At 37.0% G+C, this 19,885-nt stretch overlaps 1 protein-coding gene across 1 annotated transcript in view; it reads right to left on the bottom strand.

Annotated features, from left to right (window-relative positions):
* The window catches only part of KCNB2 (potassium voltage-gated channel subfamily B member 2), a 401,125-nt gene that overhangs the window by 367,938 nt on the left and 13,302 nt on the right, over positions 1-19,885 (bottom strand). Inside the window, exon 2 of the mRNA NM_004770.3 lies at positions 2,099-2,770. Coding sequence (NP_004761.2) covers positions 2,099-2,677 — 579 coding nt within the window. The 5' untranslated portion in view covers positions 2,678-2,770. The remainder of the gene's footprint in view (positions 1-2,098; positions 2,771-19,885) is intronic.

Genomic DNA, 19,885 nt, shown 5'->3' with positions numbered 1-19,885 from the left:
TTCAAACAGAGAGGAAAATGTAGACATATAAATAAACATAAATCCTGTATGGAAATTTAGTAAAGAATCAACTTATAGTGAAGATTTACTTAGCTTGATTAACAATGTGGAAACAAATATACCATTTATAACTACATAAAATTTTCCAAAACCAATGTCTTTGGCTGCTGGGTAGAGTTTGTAGGCAGATTTCTTGTCTATACATACAGACATAATTTGAAGCAAATTTAAATAATATGTTGGATACATATGTAAAGGTCTATTGTAATGAGCCATGGTCATAGTTACCCTCTTAGAGATTAAGAAATGGCTATTTCTTCTAAAATTTATAGATTAAATGAACTCCCTTGTGTAGGAAATCAGGTTGTTGACCTTATTCTATCCTTGTGAGAAATTCTTCAGGAAAATATACATATATCTTAAATTTTTTCTGTAACAATACTTAACTTTAGATATAGGTTAATAATGTCATTATGAACAAATAAACCACAGTAACCTTTCAAACTTTCTTTGACTTAATTGCTTTATTTTTATACAGTTGGCTAACTTTCTCTGGAAATTTTGATGGAACAATGATTTATTCCTTAGTTGCCTAAAGGCTTGAAAGAATTCATTTAACACCCACAATACTCACTTAAATCCAGAATCTGTCTCATTCATTTTCAAAATTCACTCCATATTTTTTGTAGTAACTCGAGTATGTACCTAAACACTTGATATTGGAAAGAGCAGTAGCCTTTCTCAATCAAAACCCACAAATGCGGCACATTTTTTTTTTACAAGTAAAATGAAAGTAAACAACTTATCCAAAACTACAAAAAAACCTAAAGTCTTCTATTTCCCACGAAATATGCATTTCTTTGTTATACACAACAGATATCATTTTATTTCACTTAGGTGCATGTCCTGGCTGGAAAGTAAAATGCCTTTAGAAGTCAACCAGAAAGAAAATCAAACAAAAAGCAGTTTTATGATCATTTGCATTAGCTGATTATTTATGTGCTATAGATTATCATGTAGAATCTTAATTTCCAGTCAAAAATCTCATATGTTCTATTATAAATTCTGAAATCATTACTGTTCACGAGAGAAGATTTTAGAAAAAAACAGTAAATCAAAAGAATTCATGTGATGACACACTCTTCCCTTCTCCATTCCGTACTCCATTTTCATCCATTACGCACAAAATGTCAATACTATACTCCTGCAGCTAAAGATGGCTTTTTGAATTTTTACTTATCATTCATACTGCAATACAGAACTAAATATATGGAGTGAAAATTGGTTTGAGCTAACCTTGGAAGCTCTAGATAAAATTAGACAAACAGAATCACGCAGTTGAATTACATACTGGAATTAGTGACAAAAAATTTACTGTGAGATTTAGATATATGCAGTCACAATGGGAAAATATGAATTTACCTTCATTTTAAGCAAATATTTTATGAACTCTGATACATGGTAATACCTCAATTGTAAAAAAAAAAAAAATTAACAGTCAGAAACATGCACTGTTAAAGGAGGCCTCAAAAGGGGAGGTACGTGGATGCATTCTGGACATTGACTCATTTTTTACACAGCTTAATAAAACAGTCCCTTCCTCATGTGTGTGGCACTTGCCCTCTGAGCTACCTGGGGCCATGCTCTCCTCTCTTTCCTTGAACCTCTACATAGCCAGGCTAAGAGGTACCTCCTCTCCTTCCAGTGACAGTACCTTCCCTTTGTTCAAGATGGAGCTCAGGCCCTCGTCTTCCACAAGACTCAGTGCCTGATGGGTCTGAGCTAGGGCTTTCTCCTCAACCTCCAAGTCACCAACCTGATACAGCGCCAGGAAAACCAGGACTCTCTTTCATCCTCTGTTGCCCAGGCCCCTTTCTACAGACAATAATATTTATGAAAGGGTAATGCCATTTTATGTCATTAACCAGGATGAATGACTATATTGGACTAAATAAGATTTTGGAAAGGATTTTTTCACTGTCTGTGTAGCCACACTTTGTTCTGTGTTACCAAAACAGTAAAAAAACTTATACTCTCTAGAACGTAGGTAGCATCTTTTCTGACCACACACAGGCAAGCAATACTATGGGTTTCATACCTTTGCAGCCACTGATGAGTTAGGTTTCTCCAGCAAGTCCCACAGTTTCTTCCTTTTATCAGGGCAGCAGGTATTATCAAACTCTTCTCCTTCTCGCTCTCGCATAGTCTCTGCCTCTCGCCTCAGTTCTTCGTTCATTTGTTCTTTTTTTTGATGATATCTGGCCTGGCAGCAGGACTCCAAGTAGATCTCATCAATCCCCCAGTAATCAAGTTCTTGGCCAAACGAAAGTGCACACATTTCTTCCATCATATGGAGTTTCCCGGTCCGGTAGAAATTTAAAATGGAAGTGAAGGCTCCTGGATGCCGATCAAAGAAATACTCGTTCTCGTTCAGATTATAGTCGTCGCACACTTCCAGGAGGCTCTCGTGTGTGTTGCAGTCTCGAAGCTTCCCCAGGCGCGTCCTGGGCAGCCTGTCCAGCGTTCTCCACAGGACTTCGTGGTTGAGGCCCCCCACATTGATCTTAACTCTCCTGGAGCATGTTTTGCTCCGGATAATGTCCACAGGCTCTGGAGGAAGGGAAAGTGTCGACCTTGAAGTCTTCCTGTTTAAGCCCGGGGGAGCCTTTTCTGCCATTTTGAACTGGACAAAGCCGCAGAGCCAGGGTCCTTAAAAAATGAGGTCAACTGAAGCAATATCCCTCTGGGGCAGGCATTTCCACTGACAAAGCTGGAAGAAAGCAACAATCACTTGGTTACTTGCATTTTCCTAGAGTGTTTCTGTTCTATGGGATCATTCTGTTGTAACAACCAGAAGGTACAATATTAACGACTGAATACAACCAGAAGGTACAATATTAATGTCTACATACTTTTGGAGATATGTGTCTTTGCTTTAGGATATAGGAAAGGGGGAAAAGACAACACAGTGTACTACACAGAAGAGGTTGTGTATTCAGTGATATATACCTATAGGCTGGCAACTCCCAAACATGTCATGAGAGACCTCTTTCTCAAGCTGCAGACTAAAAGATCCATGTGCTTGATCAACTCTTTTTTTTGAGACAGGTCTCTCTCTGTGACACAGGCTGGAATGCAGTGGCACCATCACAGCTCACTGCAGCCTTGATCTCTTGGGCTCAGATGATCCTCCCACCTCAGCCTCCCAGGTACCTGGGACGTGCCACCACACCTGGCTAATTCTTATATTTTTTGTAGAGATGGGGTTTCTCCATGTTGCCCAGGCTGGTCTTGACCTCCCAGGTGCAAGCAATCCACCTGCCTCAGCGTTCCAAAGTACTGGGATTACAGGGTGAGCCGCTGCACCTCACCCTGATCAACTCCTTCTAGATAAACCACAGACATCTTAAGCTAAACTGACCAAGGTGCCAGTCTGCCCAACCAGTTCCTGATCATTCTCCGTCTCAGATTTACGGCCTTCCCCACCCCATACCCGGTCACCCTCACTAAAACTCTGTGAAATCCTGATCCATCCATCCACATCCAAATAAGCACCAAGTCTTACCAATTATAGCTCCTAACCATTGCTTAAGGCCTCCAACACTGTTACCAAGGTTCCCATTACCACAATGCTGGTTCGAACTCTCAGCATCACTTACTTGCCTAGACTTCTTTTCCTTTCTTTCTTTTTTTTTTTTTTTGAAATAGAGTCTCACTCTGTAGCCCAGGCACAATCTCAGCTCACTGCACAATCTCAGCTCACTGCAACTTCTGCCTCCTGGGCTCAAGTGATCCTCTCACCTCAGCTTTCCAAGAAGCTAGGACTACAGGCTTGCACCACCATGCCTGGCTAATTTTTGTATTTTTTTTTTTTTTTAGAGACAGGGTCTCACTATATTTCCCAGGCTGGTCTGAAATTCCCAAGCTTAAGCAATCCGCTGGCCTTGGCCTCCCAAAGTGCTGGGATTACAGGCATGAGCCACCGTGCCCAGCCCTTGCCTACACTTCTAATACAGCCTTAAATTGGATCCCAAACTCGGGTTTTGTCCACCTAAAAACCATTCTCCACATAGCTATTAGAATGCTCTGCTAAGATACAAATTTGACCTTGCCACTCACATGCTTTAAACTCTGCAAAATGTCATCATTATTGGAATTTTATTTTTGAAGTCCTACCAGCACTTTAAAGCCTAGTTAGTCCTAGTAGGTCCAGCCTCCTCTCCACCTTCACTTTTCATCTTTCCCTCATCATTATATTCCAGCAATCCCAGACTGCACACAACATTCCCTTTTAAGCTCCTGGCCTTTCCATACTGTGTTCTAGAAACATTTTTCTTGTTTCCTTCTGACTAACTAGTACTTGCTTTTCAAGACTCAGCTCAAACCTCACCTTCTAGAGAAAGCTCTCCATAATATTCCCACTCTGGGATCATGAAACTTCCACCATACCATTGCAACATACCTTTCCCATAGTATGCTGGGAACTCTTGAGGACAAAGAACATCTTCTCTATTATTACATTCCTATCACCAAGCACAGTGCTTATACAGTGTAGGAGTTTAATAAATATTAAACAGTTAATCCATTCTTTAATTATTTTCCACAAGAGAGCTGACCAAAGTAATATATGTGGCCAGAAAATGCAAAAATGGAGTTATTGGGATCAATTATTTAAAATGCATCTGTGTTTATATGTTATGTGTATATAATATACATCAGAATGTGTGTGTGTGTTGTGTGTGTGTGTGTTGTGTGTGTGTGTGTGTATTCTGCTTCATGGCTCTTTTCTCCTGTGTGCTAATTCTTTAAAGCATTACTGCTCTTGTAGTCCCTCTTATTGATCTGTTATTCTGATCTGCAGCAGCAAGCATCTTCTTAGTTATCTTCCCCTATAATGTTTTTGCAGAAAATCATAGAGCTTCAAGCAATTCATCCAAAATACCACCTTTAATGTAAAACATCATGTTTCACACAGTCAACAGCTTATACTAAAGGGAAAAACTATTAGATTTAAGAGGTCCTTATAATTAGAACTCTCTTCTAGGATACACACCAATTTCTGCATGCCTCTGGCTTCTCCATCCTGCAAGTTAAATTTATTTATTGTTCTGGAGGCGAAAGATTCTCTTGAATGAATATAAGTCAAGGTAATGAAAAATGTAGATGGACTATATAAGAAGTACTTTAAATGTGGCCAATAAATATACTTGCAGCAGGAGTTTTTTCAACTACAGAGTTACAGGAATATTTTAAGCATATATATATATATACACACACATTTTCATCACACATGACAAAAATGCTTATCTTTACAAAAATAAGAAGCTCTATAATGATTGACTAAGCAACTTAAATTCTCTGGGCTTGAATTTTCTAATCTACAAAATAAAGATAATAGTATCTATTTCATGTACAGTATTATGATGATTAGATGAGATTGTTTATGTGAAATGCTCATTACAAGGAGGTATATCTGAATAGAGTAAGAATATTCATATTTCTCCCTAAAGTTTGGTTTCCAAGCACTGAAAGAAAACTAAGATTAAAGCTATATTAGTGTCTATTAAATAAATTCTAGCTTTTAAGTTTTCTCTTTACATATATGTTCTGTCTTTCCCATTGAATTATAAAGGCAGGCCTGGGATTGTGGGTCCAAACTTTTCTCTACTGAGCCCTCAACCCACACATAACAGGCACCTCATAGCATCTGTCTTTGGCGCCACTGATGTTCATGTCCTAACTTTATATTCAGGTGATGATGAACTATATATATATGTTAAAAATTGAGCAACACTATCAGGATGAGGCAAAAACAGCCGAAAATATTAGAGATGGGGCAATTCCAGTGATGAATCTGAATGTGGAGTCTCCACTAAATAACTTAGTTGTAGGTACACTGTCATCTCAACAATCAATCATTGAATTGTCCACATAAATAAACTGTGAGCTGATGCATTTTGAATTTGAATACAAATAAAAATAAAATAAATGTACTCTTTTTGAACACCATGTTTTATACTAACATGAAGAAGATAAATCATTTTTTAACTGATTATAATATCAGATAAGAGGTTTTCCAGGAAGAGAACTAACTCCAGAATGACACAAATATCTCATTTGTTTGTGGCAAAGGCATGGTGTGACTTGCTATTTTGAAAAAGTCATTAAAAAAGGAAATGCTATATCATAGTCACTGGTAAGGTCACTATTTGTCTTAAATAATTTCATGTGCATTGTGTATAGTGAATTTTCCTTTTTGTAGGGTGTGTGTCTCAAGAGAAGAGAGGTCATAAGACTTAACTTTCAAAATATCTTCTTCACTGATCAAGAACTTTCTATTATAAGAGATCCAGTGTTGATTACAAGTCCCGCAATAAAAGACAAACTGAAATTCACTGCCCTTTCTTCATAGCAGGGATAGAGAAAATAAGGGTGAGAAAATTCCCTGTTGATTTGATTTTCTTAAGACTTAAAAATGATCTGCTCTTATTATTGTTACCATGGTTAAAAGATTTTTTATTCTCCCTGGGCAGAATGTTCTGCTTGTTACCTGATAAAGAGTGCAGGCTCAAAGGCATAAGTTCCTGAGCAGTTGAAGAGCTGTGAATAGTGTTCCAAAAGTTAATCAAGCCTTCAGAATAAGCCCATAATAAATGCAAGCTGCAGAGCATCAGCCCTGATCAACAGTGCCTTTGAAACTCACTGAGCCTTTCTGCTTGCCTGCTTGCCATTTTCCCTTCTATCTCTTCTTCTGTGGGTTTCTCTTACCTTCCCCCATGTCTGTTAACGCCACATGCTACCTTTCTTCCTTTGCTTTCCCTCCTTTCCTGTCCTGATCCCTAGATCTTTCTATCCTCACAGCCACTTAAACAAGCACAAAACCAAACTATTTTTTCAGACTTGTACATACTTCATTAAGTTTTCTGTAGCCAATCTTAATACAGAGGCCTCCTAGGCTGAAAATACCTTCCAGGAGATAAAAACATCTAAACAGAATTGGAGGTCATATGGGATCATAAAAGGGGCTCTGTCTGAGGCTCAGAACACCTCAGTTCCACATTGCCCTCAATTGCTAATTGAACTTTAATTTCTTCACCCATTAAGTGGTAGCATGTCCATGCCTAAAATTCTTTTATTTCCTATGACACTTAATTTTTTCCTTTCACTGTGATTCTGCCCCTTTTACCTCCCTATGCCCTCTAATCATCATCCTTACTTTAGATAGAAATAAACTTATCATGCTGCCTCACAGTCAATGAAACATTTTCCATGTCTAGTTTCTTGAGGAAGGTGGTTTTCATATTTCATTTCAAGAACCTTTACTTTAATATTTATCATGGCTTGAAACAAACTACCTTCAGAACATCATGAATGTTTCATTTATTTTATTTAGTGTTTAGTTGATTTTCTATCCTTTAACTTTTCATTTTAAATTTATGTCCTTTTCTGCCATATTAATTTTACTTCTAGCAATGAATCTGCCAGTTCCCTGTGGGTAAGGGTATTGTGTTTTACGACCCTAGAGTGTTCACAAAATTTATGTTTTTAATTTCCGTAATTAAAGTGTATATGATGTTACATTTTCTCACATATACTTTCATAAGTGAATTTATGTCTATCATAATGATTTTTTACCCCATAAAATTAATCATGTAGTTCAATTCTGTATATAAGTATAATATAAAATGCAATAATTCAATGCTTAAATTGTGTAGATATTATGCAACTGTGAATAATTTATAAACATAAATTGTCAGTATAAACAGAAGGCACTTTTGTTTGAGACCTCAGAACACATGTTTTCATGTCAAGGGCAAAATCTTAGTGAATATTTTCTCTTGGCAGTTTGTTGATTTATTTCACCTCATTCAATCAATTGAAAGTTAAGCTTGCTACAATCAGTCAGCCAGTGCAAATGTACTCACCATCCCTTCATTAGTCTTCTAGAGAAAAAAAAGCAGCTCTGTAAACAATAAACAACAACAAACATTTGAGTTTTGCACGGCTGCACCCTGCTTCTACAGCAGCGTGGCATTATGCTGCCACCCGCTCAGGGCCAAAACTGACAAAACACAACTTTCTCATCATGGCATCCTAATTACAGCTTGAGGCTCCAGGTTTGGAGGGGGAGTGGGGTTTACTGTAGTCTCAAAAATACTAGCATTATGTCATACACTTGACACTTCCTTCATGGAGCCAGGCAGGGTAAGTCACATGTGCGATCCTGTGAAGATAAAAAGCAAACCTTTCTAAAGTTGTAAGTGATGTTTAACATTTCATTTTTGTGTTGCTAGAACATGCTGAGCAGGCACTGCAAACAAACATCTCTGAGACCTTTAAGTCTGTATCACTCCATATATAGCTCTAAGGCATTTTCTTAAATTTTCATGTATAGCATTAAGTAGTAAGTTTCTGTAGAAACTATGTTTCAAAGAACCACAAGATGATTTGCAGTAGATATCTGAAGAGAAAGGCATTGTAACTGTTAGCTGAAGATTAAATCAATGTATATTTTTTAATTCTATTGTTGGCTGCAATTTTTGAAAGCACCTCCAAAATTTACTAATAAAAACCAATAACATTATAGCAAGTTAAAAACTATCATTCATATATATATATATGTATATATATATCCATATATATATATATCCATATATATATATACATATATATATAGATATAGATATATATATATATATATATATATATATATATATATAAAAGTAAGATCCTGGAAATTTTCAGCTATTCTAAGAAATTCAACAAACCTGCAACCTGCATTACTTTAGAACCTGGTCAGAAATATTTAATAAATTTCATACTGCTTATTATTTTTTAACACATAAAGTTCTAGAAATAACTGAAATGCTGTCCTTGTCCTTAGAAAGTGGAAGGTGACATTTCTTTTCTGCAATCAAAGGCTGCTAATATCATTTTGTTCCTCAAATTTAGCACAACTATATACTCCTTAGTTTAAAAAAAAAATAGAACTTTTTTGGGAGGCCAAGGTGGGCAGATTATGAGGTCAAGAGATCGAGACCATCCTGGCCAAAGTGGTGAAACCCCATCTCTACAAAAAATACAAAAATTATCTGGGAGTGGTGGCGCACACCTGTAGTCCCAGCTACTCAGGAGGCTGAGGCAGGAGAATTGCCAGAACCTGGGAGGCAGAGGTTGCAATGAGCCGAGATTGTGCCACTGCACTCCAGCCTAGTGACAGAGCAAGACTCTGTGTCAAAAAAAAAAAAAAATTAGAACTTTTATCCTTGATATAACCGATGCTTTTTTTAGATACACTCAGATGAAATCCTAAAAGCTTTCCTTTCAGTGGTCAAAGGAAGCATTGTGTTGCAATAAGAAGGGGACAAGACAAGTAATAAATAGGATATGTAATATGAGCATCTTTCAATATCATAGCTGTCTCCAAATTTATAAATAAACTATTTTGTTTAGACCCCGTAATATAATTTTTCTTCATCAGGATAATTATTTAAAGAACTAGGCCCTAAACATATATGTTCACTAAAATTACAGAATAAAACACCAGATTTGTCTTTAGAAAAATGGCCTTTTATAAAACATAGCTGACCAGAAAAAAAACCTTTCTTTATTCTGAAAAATATAATATTGAATTATAAAGCATCTTGGACCTTTTATAGACTACAAGGTATAGTGATGGCTGGAAATTTTTAGTGTGCTTCAAAATGCACACAGAAAAGGGCTCAAATTTTTATATCTACATTCAGCTATTCAGCTAGTGGGTTTTCTATTATGACGGTAAAAGTGCCCTTTACACTGGCGTCCAAGGTGTGTCCTTCTAAATCTTTCCTTTTGCAAGTCTTCCCAGACTCACAGTGTAATGAAGGCGATAAAGATGAAAGGTGATGAAAAAAATAAGGAAGGCAACCAACAGAGAATCTACTGGTACTACTGAAAGGAATGGGAAACAATAGGCCACCCAGTAATACCCTGAAAAATAAATCACGAACTTCAGTCACTACCTGATTCCACGTGAATGACACAATCCACTATTTGGGTGAATGACATAAGTTTTACATTCCATTTGGATGTTTGGCATAAGATAGACTTAGCCTCTATGAAACCAAATATGGAAATGTTCATGAAATTTGGATAGGATTTGAACAATTTGTTAGGTCTCTTCCAGTAAAAATTAACTTTTAGATCATGTAATGATTGGTCTGAAATGTTTAGTAGTAATATTCATGTACAAGGACTATTTCTCAGTTGGGCTCTGTCTCATAGTAAAAATACACTTTAAATTATCATTCTGTTCCTATTTCTCCATAATCAAACACATTATATGTAATGTGCCTGTATTAAAAGCTCAAATACTGAGAAGTCTCTATGACTTAAGTATTATGTCATGCTTTATATACCTCCATGTTTTGAGACTAAAATCACAGAATGTGGCAGAAGGGAGTTTAGATATGATCTGGTCCAATTTCTTTATTTACATCTTTTAAAACTGAGGTCGCATGACTTGTCTGACCTCAGTTGATAGTTGCTGAGCTTGAACTAGAACCCAGATCTCTAGTTGTCTATACACAAGTCTCTTTCCATTAAATTCCACCTCACTATTATTTGCTTTTCACCTGCTAGTCAGAGTTTTAAAAAACTTTTCTTAATCTATCCCCATGTCAAAATACTAATCCAAACTACACGAAGTTGAGATGAGTTATCTCCTACATATTGTTTGTTTCAGTAAAGGGTAATGGCCGCAGTCAGGCAAATTAATTGTGTTCTTGCAAAGAGAGGTGCACTTCCTAGAACTGCTCTTTCCTTATCTCTGCTTCCCTAGCACTGGTTTTGATGATAACAACCTCCTTCTGCCCTGGATCTCTCCAGTCAGTTCTGCACACTACAGCCCAAACCCCAGCAGGTCAGGGCCATCTCTTGTAGAAGATGCTCTCACGGCTTCCTGGCTCTCAGGATTAAGACACAACACTGGCCGGGTGCGGTGGCTCACACCTGTAATCCCAGCACTTTGGGAGGCTGAGGCAGGTGGATTGCCTGAGCTCAAGAGTTCAAGATCAGCCTGGGAAACACGGTGAAACCCTGTCTCTACTAAAAATACAAAAATTAGCCGGGTGTAGTAGCGCGCACCTGTAATCCCAGCTACTCAGGAGGCTGAGGCAGGAGAATCACTTGAACCAGGTAGCAGAGGTTGCAATGAGCCCAGATCACATCACTGCACTCCATCCTGGGGAACAGAATGGGACTCCATCTCCAAAAAAATAAATAATAAAATAAAATAAAATAAAACAAAATAAAATAAAGAAAGAAAAAGACACAACACTATACAAAGACTTCAAGGTCTATATTTCACTTACTTCTGTGCTTCTACATGTCCCTTGCTGCTCCCCCCAGCCCTCTCTCTCTCTCTGTTGTAGATCCTTCTTTCATTTCTTTAATGTGCTATTCTCCCTCTGCCACAGGGAACAGGGAATTTGTACTTCTTTTCTTTCCCCTCTTCACCTTCAGATATCAACTCAAGGATCACATATTATTGTCCCCTGACCTCCCTGACGATCCAATAATCCTCTTATTGTAAGAACTTTAGAACCAGGTACCTTTCATCTGTAGTAGCATTTGTCACAACATCAATTATATATTTGTTGGGATGATTACTTTGATTATTTGATAAATATCCATCTTCTTCACTAGATTCTAAGTTCCTGGAGGGCAGGGATCACATCTGATCTTATTCATCATTGTGCCCCAAGTGACGTGCAATAAATATTAGTTAACTAAAAAAGTAAATAATCGGGTTTAATTAAGTCCTTCCTTATTTATTTAAAATTCAGTTTCCTCTCATTCCCACTACCTCGTGTTACCTGCCATTCCCCAAATTCAATATGACTTCCACGTATGAAATATTCTTTTCCGCATTTTCCACCTAATAAACTTTTACTCATTATTCAAGATCAAGGATAAGTACCTTCCCGGAAAGAATTAATCTTTCCTGCTTCAGTGGGTTAGAAGTTTGTTTTATCTATTATAGTGCTTTTCTCATTATAACTATTCAATTAGAATCCTTTCTTATCATGCAGCAAATATGTATGAACCCCTACACTGCTTGAGGCACAGTCTCTGACATGGTGCAGCTTACATTCTCATGGAGGTAGACAGATATTCTACAAGCATGCAAGCAACTAACTACAATTCTAATAAAAGCAACAACAGCAAAGTACAAGTTGCCATGAGGGCTTAAACCTGGAAACATCTACTTGACGTGAGTTATTTAAAATTGACAAACATCTCTGTATCCATATCTGCATCTTTTGTACCTAGCTAGTGTGTCACCTAATATGAATGCTTAACACATGTTGTGGACTACCCCCAAAAAATGAATGAATAAGTAATAAATTTCAAAGCACTAGTATCTTGTTTGTTTTGTTAGATATTTTGGTTAGCATAATACCAGTTATTATGGATAGCCTCCAATTTATTTAGAAGTTCTGATGACCTTTATTTACCAACTTTAACAAGGCCTGTGTTAAAAGTAAGAGCTGGATTTCCTGGAACTAGGTAGAGAACAACTTGTACATATATAAAACTCTCTAGTAATTATTGTTGCCCAACAATGGACAGTGCTACCTCAAAAAACTACCAGGCCCACTGTGTGGCAGTGTTCATGAAGACCCAGGTGATCACCTGTCAGGTATGCACAAGAGAAGCTCCTAGTCTGTGGATATTGACAAGATGGACCTCAAGTGCTTTCTGTCACTGCAATTTTATGGTTCTGTGAGATTTCTGTGTGATTACTACTCATCTACATCTTCCACTGGACTGATGAGGAATAGGAAAAAGTTGACTTTGGTAAATTTCTTAAGTTTAAAATGTTGTACAAGTGAATTTTCCATTTCTCAGCTTATACTCACTCACTCCTAGGAAAGATATTTCATGTCCTAGGAAAGATATTTCATGTCTGGTGAGGGTCTCTTCAATATGATGGCATTTTCACCAATTAAAAAATAAAGAAAAGTAAAAGAAAAGAATGCATCAAAGTTAGTGAGTCCATTTTTTTCTTCAAAATATAAGCTTATACCTGTTAACAATTGTCTCTTCTCTTTCCGAATAATAGAATGTATTTCCATGTGAAGCCTCAAAGGAATAATCCTACAATAATGGAAATACATGCTGGGCAGTAATTGGGATGGGAAAATCATGTGAGGGGAAAGGTGAGAGTCTTTCCTGATGTATTCTAATCACAATACACAGGTGGCCATGTACTATGGTCTGAATGCTTGCATCCCATCAGAATTCCTATGTTGAAATCCTGCTTCCCAAGTTGATGGTATTAAGAGGTGGGACCTTTTGGGAGTGATTAGGTCATGAGAGCAGGGCCCTCATGAATGGGATTAGTGTCTATAGAACAGGCCCCAGACAGCTGCCTGTGTCCTTGACACAGCAAGAAGACATGATCTTTAAGGAAGAGGCCCTCACCAGACACTAAATCTGCCAGCACCTTGATCTTGAACTTCCTATCCTCCAGAACTGTGAGAAATAAATTTCTGCTGTTCATAAGTTACCTCGTCTAAGATATCCTGTAGTAATAGTCCCAAAGGACTAAGATACCATACCATCAGCCTCAAAGCAGACCGCTTCCAAAATTCACCTTGGGACACTCGGCATAGCATCAACTGGAGGTCCCTTTTTGTTCTTTCCCTGACTACTCATACTCAAAACACTGTGTTCTAGATTCAAGCATGAAAAACAAGTTTCTAACAAATCAATGGTATTATGGAATTAATTTAAAAATTGGACTTTGTCAAAATCGATTGTATGCTTGATTTTTTTCTATTCATTATTAGATATTATTTCTATTCATTATTAGATAGAAAAGGGAAGAGTTTCCCTGAACTATAGACACCACCATCTCCACATTCCTTGGGAATAATGTTTTCCATCCATCCTTATCATTAGTGAGGATCATTAAACAGCATTTTTTAACCATCCATCTGTGTATGGCACTTTATAAATATTCTTTCCCTCTCCCCTGCCCCCTCTCTCAACCTACCATGTGTCTCTGTTGTGTAAAACACTAGGAAGCTACAACAATAATAAATAATTAATGGTAAAAAAGTAAGGCAGATGGGCAAGATGACCTACTAGCATCTATGAATCTTAGGATGTTAAATTTACTGCTAGAAATATAATTCAGCAAAATTTGATAAGAAAATATCAAAGCATTTGGTGAGGAACATGAACTTATCGATTTCCATCAACATTTTCTAAAATAAAAATGTAAAAATTAGGGACCCACAGATGGACCAACTGAAGCCCTGAGTTCACGTGACTTGTACCAGATGATGCAGTCTTGAAATAAATAATGAGAAAAACAGTGTGGAAAATCATAATAATTATGGTTGCAACAGTATATAACAGACAATGTTACTATGGACAAAGAGAGAAAATATTCAAAAACAAACGAAGGATATTATTCTCATTGAAAGGAGTAGTGTGGTTAAGGGTTGTGAAATTATGGATTCTATTTTCCTTTAAAAAACCTAATGCTAAATGACGAGTTAATGGGTGCAGCACACCAGCATGACACATGTATACATATGTAACTAACCTGCACATTGTGCACATACATGTACCCTAAAACTTAAAGTATAATAAAATAAAATAAAATAAAATAAAAAGAAAATCCAAATGGCCAATAAGCCTACAAAGAGGCTTTAATCTTTTTAAATCTTTAAAAACATTCAAATTAAAACCAAAATGAAATGCCAAAAAAAAAATTCTTCTTTAATATTGTTATGGGTTTTTTTCATTTTTTTTTTCTTCAAGGAAAGAACTAGTTTTTCTGGATTCAGAGATGGTGATATTTAAAGCACTGTTTTTCAGCTTTGCAAGCTGCATGTAGTCAGGATTATAATAAAAGAACATGTCGGTGTAAAATAAGCTATTGTGATGGATTCGGTTTTACAATTTGGATTTTATTTCAGCTTAAGATCAAAATGCCCATAAGTAAAATTTACATTTCCTAGAAAGTAGGGATATTCTTAGAGTTGTATCTGAAAGAGAGCCAAAGTTATGATCTCATTTGCTTTGTGAATTTTGTTAATGATTATCATTTTCATCACCTACCAAATATTAAGTGATTATTATATGTAGCCACTGTGCTTATTGCAGTTAATTCGCATGGTGAGAATTCTCATTATTTCTCATCCCTCCTTGGGATGGGTATTATTATCTTTTATTTATAGGTTAAGAAACTGAGGCTCAGAAAGGTAAGTTTCTTGCTCACAACACAACTAGGAGGTGCTGCCTCCAAGATTCCAACCCAGCATTATCTTAATCCAAAGACCATGTTCTTGACCTTATAAGACACTGGGAATTTTCCTTGAATTGAAGGATTCTGGATGCCTATAATAAATAAGCAGAAATATGGGATCAATATTGAGCAATCCTAGTAGCATGATATTGAAGGTAAGAGTGAACATAAATAATTCCTGTAATATTTTGTCTACCCCTTGGCCTGAATGACATGTATAACATCTACTATCACGTTACAATTCTCTTATGGATAGAGATGGTAGAATTGGCAACTGTTTTGGCAGCTCTGAATTTTTAAAACTAAACATAAGTTTTAGTATGTGACTTTCAGAAGTAATGCTAATAGTCTTAGTATTCAAGATTTATGGTCAAAATAGATGCCAAGAATATTTTTTAAATGTTGAAAATACAAAATTTATAGTTAGAAGGGGTCCACTCTAACTAGGTGAAAAACACTGGTAGATTTAAACAATCTTCCCAGGGCCTTTTCAGCATCAGGGCCAGTAGCTAAAGCTCCTGCTTCTGAACCTAGTTCTTTGTATTAGACTTTGCTACCGCAGAGCACCAAAAATAAATATACAATTTAAACAATGGAAGAGAAAAAATGTGAAGCAAGAGTAATCTGACTATCTCATACCCAGTGAAACCTATAAATACTGGTGAGTTGAACCTTATTATTAATGATTCCTGGCTACAACATAAGTCTATAATTTCTACTATTCCAATAATGGTCAGAATGGAAAAAGACCATAAAATATAAATAAGAAATACGGATTTAGATCCATTATTCCTCTCATTCTGTCTCCTCTTTCCAAAACAATGTTACTTGACTGTCACTATATATCGAGCATGGGAGATGATGCAAAATTGGGTAAAGTAGCCCTTTGCTCTCAAGAAACCCACAGGATCACCGCAAAGAATATTACAGGAACTTTTGGTTTTGTGTTCTAGCATGCGTTTTGTAGGCCCAGATAACATTATGGACTTGAATATGTATTTAACTAGCACCTAGTTGAAACTGTCTCCCTGATTTAAATGTATTGCTGTAAAAGAAGAGAAACTAATATAAAGTACCAGCAAATGACACGGATATTTTAATTCATGGGGCTTTGTGGAATATAGTATGCATTTATGGACACAATAGTCTTAGCCCCCATTTGTAATTTTAAAAACTCTTTGAGGTTTTATTAATTTGCTAATTCATTCAACAAATATTTATTGAGCATCTACTACCCATGAAGCACTGTATTCCAAATGTTATAAAATGCCTGCAATAAAATAGCTCCCCAGATTTAAAAAAATGACAAAAATGATTACCATAATATTCTACTTTAGCTTCATATAGATGTTTACAAATTGTGTTTATTATGCTGGAAATTATTTGGCTGGGCTGGAATGAAACCAGAAGCCAAGTTTAAGAAGTAGCTTCTTAATAGCTTCTAAGCTTTCTATGTGCACTCTTTCCATAAAGCCTAATGAAAATGCTCTCCTTAGATTTAGAAAAAAAAGTAGGATTCCAAATTTAAAATGACATTTATCTCAAAAGTAAGTTAATATTTAATGATAACCTGATTAATAATCACGATTTTATGAACTGGGAACATTTAGCATGAAAGCCCTGAGACACATTTGTTCTAAGCTATTCAGACTAGGGAAAAAGGAGTAAAGATAGACTCTTTCTTTGTACTTTATTATGATATTTCAGATTTTTGCCTTCTAAACACCACATTCTTATTCTGGTATTTCCTCATTGGAAAGTTTTTTTATTTGTGGAAAGCAGGGCAAAGAACTCAAGAGTCAGACAAATGGGCAATTTCAAAGGATTAAAAGCAACTACCATGTTATCTAGGTGAAAACTGGGAAAAACCAAGTGCAATGGCTTACGTTAAATTCTTCATATATTGATATTGAAATTATTATATCTGATCAATATCCAAAATGTATGAAACAGCAAGCCAAGAGCTATCATCATTTCTGAGATTTTGTTGTTGTTGCTAATGATTTGAACTGTATTTTGGTCTGTGTGTTTTTTTTAAATTTTTTTGTTGTTAAGGATCTGAACTCATAAAACAGCTTATAGAAATAAGCACAAAGGAAAAGAAATGAACGTGCAAAAGAAAAGGAACTTGTTAAAGGACACAGTGTTGTATCTTTGTCATTTTAGACGTCAAAAAAGGAAACAGTAAGAGAGGAAGGAGAGAAACAAAGAAGAGGGGAGGGTACAAAAAAAAAATCCTGCCTGGGAAAAGTGGATGTGAGACAGTCATATGACATAGATACTTACAGAGAAAGTGTTCTACATGTGTACAATACTTCACATTTTGTACAACCTGCCTAAAGACAGAAATGCCCTCAATAAAGAACAGTGCCAGTGGACAGAAACAAGAGATAGTTCATTCAAATCCCTTCAATAGGATGTACCTAGGAGACACTCATCAAAGTCAAACTGGTACTGGGCACCAAAGATTGCTTACATGTTTATACAGTAAACTGGAGGCCAACACTGGTTGTAAATGAATATGTCTAAAATTTAAACCACACTGCTTTTGAAACTTAGTTTCTTAAGGTAGTTCATGCTAATAATAGTCTAGACCTATATACTATCTAGCATGGTAGCCACTAGTCACATGTGGCTATTTCAACATAAATCACATAAATTTAAAATTCAACTTCTCAGTCTCTCAAGTTATGTTTCAAATATTCAATAGCTCATGTGGCTAGTGACTACTGTATTGGAGAGCACCAATATAGAACATTTCCATCATCACATCAAGTTCTATTGGGAAGCACTGGTCTAGACAACTTTCCTGTGAAGTTATGAGGCTGAGTTCTGTTCTTAAATAAGAAATAAGTTCTGTTCTTAATAAGAATGGCAGAAAAAATTCTGTTGGAAGAACATGTTTTGCCTTGATTGTGTTTCTACCACCTTCTACCTCTACTCCCATTCTCAGCAGTGGTATACCCTGGGACTCCAATTACAAACTCTACTTCCTCTTGGGTTTTAGGACCATCTTGGTCCTTGTCAAGAAGAATATAGAGTTCATGAGTGTAAATAGTGCACGGTCATGGTTTGGCGCTTCATCATCAGGCAGACTTGCTCTGGTCCTATCCTGCCCTACCCTGAACAGCAGTTCTTGGGAACTGGGCTCCCGGTTCCATTTTATGACCTAGAACTTGACTTGGGCCCCAGCTCCATCCATTCCTTTACTCATTTATTCAACAAACAAATAATAAGCATCTGCTATGTGCATGGAGTTGTGAGAGGTGCTGTGGATAAAGAAGTGCATGAAAGCAGCAGTCCCTGCCTTCACTGAGTTTATATTCTTGCAAAGGATGCTGATATTAGTGTGAGAAAGCTGATATTAAATGAGTAAATGCCTGAAATTTTAAAGTTAGATTTGGGGTAAGTGCCATAACGAATCAGGGTGCTAGAAGACGGCATGATGAGTCACCGCCCCTGCTCTGGGAGCCAAGAAGACTTCTTTGAGCAAGTGATTTTTGACCTGAGTTCAGAGACATGAGTAAGAATGTATTAGGTGAAAGTGGGAAGAGAGAGCATCCCAAGTAACTATGCGAGACGGCCTTCTAGCAAGAAAGCCCAGGGCACTTCAGATGAACTAAAATAAAGCCAGAAATTGTAACAGAAAACAAAGGATGAGTGGGGCCTGAGACGATGCTGGCGACAAGGGGCCAGACTGACCAGAGCCCGTCATGTACAACAGCTTTCTACTAGTGATGCTTTGGGAAATGAAGGAGGAATATGGTAGCCCCCAAGTTGAAGGTTTAGGACCTTATCCTAAGAAAAGTGGGAAATCATTTAAGGGTTTTAGGTAAATGAGTGACACAATCAGATTTGCTTTTTGTAAAAAATAAACAAACAACAACAACAACAAAAAAGGGCAAAATTAATTGAGAGGACAAGAAAAGAAGCTGAGTCCAGTTAGTAAGCTATAGTGGAACATCATGAAGGTGGGGTTGGTGCTTTGGTGATGGCGTAAGAAATGGTCCTGTCCATTGTGCCTGGATCCCTTCATTAATGAAGTGAACATCACCCTGTCTTCCTGAGAATGGAGATGTCTTAACTGTGTAGGCCCCTGCTAGCTACTTAAAAGAGGCTTCTTCCTAAACTCTATGTCCCCTCCAGCAGCAGCATTCTGAGCCTATGGGGCTGGACCATTCTATCCCTGCCTGTCTCTGTCAGCCCTGCCTGTCTGAATCTCCAAATATCGCCTGCTCCCAGACACTGCCTACCATATTTGGCCAGGACATTCCCTAGGAAGAAAGTCTAACTTCCTGTCTACTGGGATTGCCATCTGTCATTTGCTCTATTCTCTCCAGATGCCACTTTCCCATACCTGACTGATCTCCTTTTAGGACTGGCTTTTCCTGACTGTCAGAAAATAGGAGCAGGGAGTGTAAAAAGAACCACATAGCTTAAGACCTGGAGTCTGCAAAAAATAACTAGGTGACCAGAAGCAGAGCACAGAATTTATCTCTGGGAAATAATGACAGCATAATGTCTCAACTTCCCCAATTTAGCACACCACAGCCTGCATGCTGCTACTCCCCATCCCTTTCA

This window comes from Homo sapiens, chromosome 8, assembly GCF_000001405.40.
Source record: "Homo sapiens chromosome 8, GRCh38.p14 Primary Assembly".
Taxonomy (NCBI): domain Eukaryota; kingdom Metazoa; phylum Chordata; class Mammalia; order Primates; family Hominidae; genus Homo; species Homo sapiens.
This window is presented reverse-complemented; position numbering and strand designations above follow the sequence as displayed.